Source organism: Homo sapiens, chromosome 9 (genome assembly GCF_000001405.40).
Source record: "Homo sapiens chromosome 9, GRCh38.p14 Primary Assembly".
Lineage (NCBI taxonomy): Eukaryota > Metazoa > Chordata > Mammalia > Primates > Hominidae > Homo > Homo sapiens.
Genome location: NC_000009.12, coordinates 3,816,115 through 3,824,126, shown reverse-complemented (window position 1 = coordinate 3,824,126; position 8,012 = coordinate 3,816,115).

Here is an 8,012-nt window from a genome sequence, read left to right as displayed (position 1 = left end):
TATTGGTTATTCTATTAATCTGCTTCACAAACCGGATAAATGTGTGCTAGGATTTGGGGTTTATTTGTGCCTTTTCAAAGTAGCGCTACATCATGCTTCAGAAATGCCTCTAGTGCTTGGTACTCCCAGTGCTGGGGTTTCAGCAAGCTGACAGTTGGAGGAGGGGGTCTTTTCAGCCCTGTTTTCCCAAACCCTTCAGAGAAAGACACAAGCATCAGCTTCCCATGATCTGATGCCCTGATCATATAATCTGATTCCCTGGAGAAAGGGGCAGGTACCATTTCCCTGGTTTCCTCATCCTGTCCACTGTGCACGCTTTAGAATACCACCTGTCCCATTGGCTGTGATGAGCTTTCTTCCTCAGCTCCCATCTATGGGGGGATGTGTCAAAATATTCTCACATCTGGTTTACCTGCTAGCCAAGCATGTGAATCCAAAAGAGATCACATCTCAAGGACCAATCTTAGAAAGTTGACTGTTTTCTTGCTGCTTTTTTTTTTTTTTTTTTTTTTTTTTAAGACTTGAGAATTGTTTTAAGAGAAGATACAAACTGGAAGGGACGATGGTCCCATGAACCTTGTCTGGTCCCTCAAGGTCAGAGAGCAGGCACCATTAGGTCCAGGGTTGTGGAGGTAGGAATAGTGCTGATAACATACAAAGAGCTCCTCAGCTTCCTAAAAGGAGGTGGCTGGTGGGAATGTGATTTTGTCCAGCCTCTTCAAAGAAAAAATTGGCATCAGGTGGTAGAGTTGAAAGTCCGCATACCCTACAGCCCAGCAATTCCACTACTTTCTAAAGACTCTTAAATCAATGATGGCTCAAGTACGAGATGTTTATGGCAGTGTTATTTACCACAGCCCCAAACGAGAAATGATCCAACTGTCCACTAACAGTAAAACGAACAAATGAAGCTTGCCTAAGTAACAGTGAAATGCCATGGAAGTGACAACAGAGGAAATGACAGGACGACAGCCACACACAACTCAGAGCTGAGTCTCACAAATTTGAGAGAAAGAAACAGACGCAAAGGCAAATATACAGTGTTATTCTGTTTATATACAGTTTGAAAACAGGCAAAACAGAGTTTAGGTGGTAGAAGTACAAAGAACAGCAAGGAAAATGTCACAAAGGCTCATAGCTCTGGTGGAGGAGAAAGAACACATGGAAGACTTCTGGGTGCTGATTGATGGACAATGTTTTATTTCTTGACTCAAGTGTTAGCTTATACAAGTGTTTGATTTATGATTAGTTAACTGCATATATATCTTATAGTTTTTAGTTCAAATAATAGTGAGAGGCAACTCTTACATTTCTTATTTGAGGGCTCTGCAAACTTTTTCTGCAAAGGGCCAGATAGTACACATTTTAGGCTTTGGGGGCTATGTGGTCTTGTGTCTCAGCTACTCAACTCTGCCACTGTAGTTCAAGAACAGCCGTAGATATTATGCAAACAAATGGATGTGGCTGTGTTCCAATAAAACCTTATTTACAAACAGATTTGAATTTCATCTAATTTTCAGATATTTGTGAAATATTCTTTTGATTTTTTTCAACTCTACATGAAAGTTTAAAAATTTCTCAACAGGCTGTACCAAAACAAAACTCAACTAAAAAAGCAGCAGGCAGGATTTGGCCCATGGGCCATAGTTTGCCGACACTCGTCAATTGAAAGGGTATTCTCCAAAGTCCTTCCCAGAAATATCCACTAATAGAAAACCATGGATAGGAGCCCCTCTGCTTATTCTTCTGCTACGTTGGGTCCTATTCCTAGAGGAAATTCATGAATTCTATTGATTAAACTTTTCTTTGTTTAGATCCTGGATTCTGCTCCCTGGGATACAGATGAATGCTTAGAGCCTGCAGTGCCATTCGACTGTAACTCTGGATTTAAAGTTTTTAATAAAAAGAACTGGGCATAGAGAAATCTGTGAGAATTGAAAAATGAGCACCCATTCTTTCCAAGCTAACCAAATATTTGCTGGATCTTGGCAGCCACCGCCAACCTTTTTCCTCTGAAATGCTGAAAGGTTATAAGTAATGGGAGACTTCATTTTTCTCGGGCCACAGCTCTTGTGAGAAGCTGAAGCTGCCTCTCAAAACCTGCAGGGTTCTCATAGAAAAGAGAGTCAAGGGTTTTATATTCAATGACGCCACTGACAAGTGACCACAGAAGAGTCAGGGCGCCCTGACGGTGCTAACAGTCTGCCCCCTCCATGCCGCAGGAAGGCAGCTAAACACCCTAAGCCCCTCCCTGGACCCTGGTTTCCCATAATGCCTAGCTCCCTAATTGGCAAACCTAGGGATTTTTCACCCCTGATGGCGCGCCCGTTGGCTACTCACACTTACGGGAGAGAATGAGACTGAATTCACATGGCATGGGTGTATGGCCCTCTTTGCGTCTCCAGCCTGCGATAACATTACTAGTTTCGAAAATAATGGTTATTCATGAGTCCTGGGTCATTGACTGGATATTAGCTTGGACTAAATCCTCTTCGGCAGATCTCCCTGGTTGTTTCATGTGCTTGAGTTTGTGTATTGTATATGATTCTGTTATTAAAGCTGCCAAGAGTGTAGAATTTTTGGTAAAAATAACCTCAATTACATGAAGTTTAAGCCAAGAAAAAGAGGACATCTGGTCCAAGCTCATCAATTTTCAGAGGAGGCAACAGATTATTTCATTCATTCACTCATCATTCATTTGTTCCTTTGCTCACTCATTCACCATTGTTTCATGCCTACTATGTGTTAAATAAACAGGGGTAGAATTGGCTCTTATCCTCACAGAGCTAAAGGGGATCACCAGAATCATCTGCCTGAGAATATTGCCTGAGGCTTGTTAAAAATGCACATTCTGGAGCTGCTACTGAATGCACACCACAAAGTTACTGAGTTGGAATTTCAGTGAGATGGAGTCATCTGCATCTTTAATAAACTCTCCAGGTGATTATTTATATGAACTAAAATTGCAAACTAAGGCTGACCACCTTTGATATAGCGGAGGAAGCAGGCAATTTAACAGGGCCACACTGTATAATAAGGGCTCAGCAGAAGAGGAGCTCCCAATTCCTGCCTAGGGAGTTAGGAGAGCAGGGTCAGAGTTCCCTGAAGGAAGGGGAATGAGGATGCCTGAGCTTGTCCTGAAACGTAAGTAGAACTTCAAGAAGCAAAGAAGCAGAGGAAAGGTATAACAGGCAGAGAACACAACATGGGCAGAGCTGCCTAGAGAAGGAAAGCCACCCAACAGGCTAGCTGGAGGGTTGGAGGTAATCCCATCTCTGTCTCCTCTGAGTAATACTTCCATGACCCACTGGCCCTAGGTCACAGCCCTTCCTATGTAGGCACTGAGCTTACAGCATTGTTTCCCAAACCAACAGGGACTCGTATATTACCAGTTACTCTGCACAAAGGGTTTTACAATCACATTAATTTGAGAAATGGCCAGTTAAAGTTACATAGGTGTTTTTGCTTCAGGACCTCTCACATCCTTTACTGTGCCAATGTGCATTGTAACTCTCCAAGAGGGAATCAGGGGATTCTGTGTGTTGACCAGGGAGCCCTATTTCCAAAAGGCTCCTTGTTAGTAACATGGAAAGAGTTAAGCAATTCCTAAAAATAGTTAATCACCATATGATTCAGCAATTCTACTCTTAATTCTAAAGACTTGAAAGGAAGGATTCTGATACAAGTATACCAGTGTTCAAAGCATTGTTCACAATATCCAAAAAGTGGAAATAACCTAAATGCCCAAGAACTGATGAGTGCATAACAAAATATGATATATACAGATATATACATACAATGGAATAGAATTCAGGCTTTAAAAAGAGGGAAATTGATACATGCTAACACATGGATAAACCTCAAAGATATTGTGCTGAAATAAGTCAGACACAAAAGAGATATTCAAAAGGACAGAGCATGATTCCTCTTATATGAGGTAACTAGGATAGTCAAGTACATAGAGACAGAAAGAACAGTGATTAGCAGGGCTGTGGGGAAAGAAGAATGGGAAGTTTTTACTGAAAATAAACAGTTTCTGTGTGAGATGAAAAAGTTCTGGAGATGGATAGTAGTGATGTTTGCATAAAATTATGAATATACTTAGAAGCACTGAATTGTACTACTCAAAATGGTTAAAAAGGTAAATTTTATTTTATGTTTATTTTACCACAATTTTTTAAAAAGATAATGTGGGCAGAGTACCTAATAGGATGCCTGATACCTGGAAGACAATTTTAAAGGTTTCAAAAGCTCCTTGTTAGGCCAGCAGTGCTCTTTGGAATTACTTAGGATGCAATTTGGGAACATTCCCTACTCTCAGGAGTATGAGAGTAGAGCCCATCTCCTACTCTGGAAAGGATGGGAGTAGAGGATGAGTCAGTATTTGCTCCCGATTGGTGGATATGGTGGCTGTAAATGGCCCCTAGCTTCCTGAGAAAAAGAAAGAAGAAAAGCCGAAAAGGAGATGAGATGGTGGTTTGGAAGAACTGCAGAAGGTGTTCTGAGCACAGAGCACTGTGCCTGATATAAGTTCTCAGGAATTGAGGAAGGGAAAGAAAGGAAAGATGAAAGGGGACTGGATGTTGGTGTGGCAGGAGAAGGAGGTAATGAAATAGGGGGTGATGGAAGAAGAATTACTTTAGACCCAGCTGATCCCAACATGAGCAAATGCCAAGATCTGTTTGGATTTCATTCATTCATTTAACAATTGTTTACTGAGCTCCATATCCAATACTATGTGTCAGTGATCATTCTAGGTGCTGGAGACTATTCAGAAAGAAACCCATACCTATTGTATTCTAGTGGATTGGCATTAGTGTTTTATTTTGGTTATCTGTGAAGTATGAGACTCTGCAGAAGGTTGGGTTAGCCAGGAAGCAGACACTGAGACAGAGTTGGGAGTGTAAACAGCTCACTGGAGAGTTACACCTGTGAAAGGAACAGAGCAGAAGCTGGATTAGACAGAGGGTGCCATCAGACTGTGATGCCATCCAAACAGAGGCCAGCCCACTGGGATGCTGTAGAGCAAAGATTTCTGTCATGTAATAGAAGAGTTCCATGTTGGGTAGAAACAGCTAGGCTGTCATACCACTCCCTGCAGAAGCCCACCCTGAAAAGAGTGTGTCTTTGCTACCACTGTCTTGTTCATTCATTGAGTAGGGTCCTTCCCAAGAGCTGGAAAGCTGAGGTGGACCCTGAAAGAATTAACACCATCAATGAACCACAATCCATGTAGCTGGAGATCTGAGCGGCAGAGCTCTGTGTCTGCACAAGACATTGGGGGAAACCATAGGTCCCCAATCATTATAGTTCCCAGTTTGTAATAAAGCATGAATTGGGCACACACATGCACACACACTTTTGAATATGGATTTCTGCCTCAGCTCTTCTCCTGTTGGCTTTCACACACACACACACACACACACACACACACACACACACAGTCACTGGGATTACAAAACCTCTCAATACTGCTCTTTCTCAAATCTAGAGTACTATTCCTCCGTGGAGAATAGTGTGTGTGTGTGTGTGTATGTGTGTTTTGTTGAAGGGTGGTGACCTGTTGCTTTTTCTTTTCTAGCGGGAGGCACCAAGAAAGGGCACAAGCTTTGGCATCAGGCAGACCTTGTTCTCTACTTTGTGCTTTGGAGTCCCCAAAGCAATCCCTAAACTCCACTGCTCTGAGCCCATTTCTTCATCTTGCAGCAGGCATCATATGGCTCATCTCATAGGCAATGAGATAAAGGCACAGATGATGTGACACAGTTCCAGGTGTATGTTAAGTACTCTCTAAAGGGTCACTGGCATCTTTTAAAAAGCACTGATACTGCACCCTGTGTGGAATAATTATGAGAAGATCATAGCAAGGGCCATAGTTCTGAGATTAGTGTACAGAGGCATGAAGGAAATGCACTAGCTCAGAGTGCACCCAAGTTGTAAAATCCTCCAATGATATTGCCTCAAGAGTGTCTTTATCTTAAGCTCAGTGCAACCTATGGTTCACACAGATATCTCTTTGGTACCTTCCTGGGGCCATCAAAAAGGTGGTACCACTTTTAGAAGCAACAAGAGGACCTCCTATACTGGGCCCTGTGTTTCAAAGGGCTCCACTCTGACCATTCTCCAGCCATGCCCGACCCCACGCAGTGGGGAGTCCATGTGGCCAAAGTGATGTCACCACCAAAAACCCACTCTTCTTCTCCTTATGGATTCATCCAAGTATCTGGAACCCCGGAACTCCCTGTCCAAATGGCCTGTGCTACTTCTGGGGCCAGCATGGACTTCTTTCTCAAATGGATTTGGGATGGTCCCCCCAAGAGTGGATCAGGTCTCCAGTGTGTGCATCCTGAGGCTTGAGGAGTGGCCATGGAGTGGCTGTTTGTGGGACTGTGGATGAAGCTAGACATGGAGATGCTCATGGTTGAAGGTGGAACAGGGGTTTGAAGAGAAGGGGTTTGGGTCACAGGCAGGAGGCCAAGGACTGCTCTCCTTGTGCCACCACATTCTAGCTGAGATATTCAAGGAGTCTCTGATCATTCTAAATCAAACCTGGCCTTCCAGGTTGCTGTGAAAATGTATTTGTTAAAACAAGAGATGAAAACACATTTTTATTTAACAGGTTTTGTTAGCTAGCTTTGGAATTTTTAAATATTTAGATCTATGCGTTTATTGGTCTCCATTTGCAATCTTGCCCCAGGCTCTGTAAATATTAGAGGCAGGCCTGGGAGAATTCTCACAGCCTTAGAGTCAGTAGACCTCAAATACCAGGAGAGAAGATGTGCAGTGCCGATTCTAAAATCCATGAAAAGTCATTAAGGAGTATCAGAGAGCATCGGGACTCAATGAATACCTTGACAGTTGCCAGACAGCAAATAGTGTACCATGCAAACATCTGTTGTAGTCTAATACATTTTAAAACAAAATAAAGCATTTTTATTTCTAATCCAAGTGCTTCCTGACTTGGCTGTGCTCTATGGCCAACAGTGAACATCTGTAGACCATGTCCCTGTATATGGACCATCTCTACAACACAGTCCTGAGTTGCCCAACAATATACCATGACCCATTATATTGAAGAGTGGCTTTATGGAATGACCCCCTTTCCCCTACTGGAAATCTTTAAGGCACACTGAGCTAACAGTCTCCCTGGGGTACTGTGGGGGGCATAGCTGTATTGCCCAACCACACAGCTAGGTCTTTCATCATCAACTCCAAATCATCTCTCTTCCCCCTGCATGTACCCGGTACTCTCTTCAGCCTAGATTTTTTAAAGGCCAAATGCCTGTCCACATAAAGGGTTTATGTGTGAGGCCAAGGGCCCATGGTGGAAGAGGCCCATCTGTGTCCCAGCCTCCCATGACTGTCAGGCCTCTGAGCCCAAGCTAAGCCATCATATCCCCTGTGACCTGCACGTACACATCCAGATGGCTGGTTCCTGCCTTAACTGATGACATTCCACCACAAAAGAAGTGAAAATGGCCTGTTCCTGCCTTAACTGATGACATTATCTTGTGAAATTCCTTCTCCTGGCTCATCCTGGCTCAAAAGCTCCCCTACTGAGCACCTTGTGACCCCCACTCCTGCCCACCAGAAAATCCCCCTTTTTCCTTTACCTACCCAAATCCTATAAAACAGCCCCACCCCTATCTCCCTTCACTGACTCTCTTTTTGGACTCAGCCTGCCTGCACCCAGGTGAAATAAACAGCTTTATTGCTCACACAAAGCCTGTTTGATGGTCTCTTCACACGGAAGCAAGTGAAATTTGGTGCCGTGACTCCGATCAGGGGACCTCCCTTGGGAGATCAATCCCCTGTCCTCCTGCTCTTTGCTCCGTGAGAAAGATCCACCTACGACCTCAGGTCCTCAGACCGACCAGCCCAAGAAACATCTCACCAATTTCAAATCCGGTAAGCGGCCTCTTTTTACTCTCCTCTCCAAACTCCCTCACTATCCCTCGACCTCCTTCTCCTGTCAATCTTGGCGCCACACTTCAATCTCTCCCTTCTCTTAA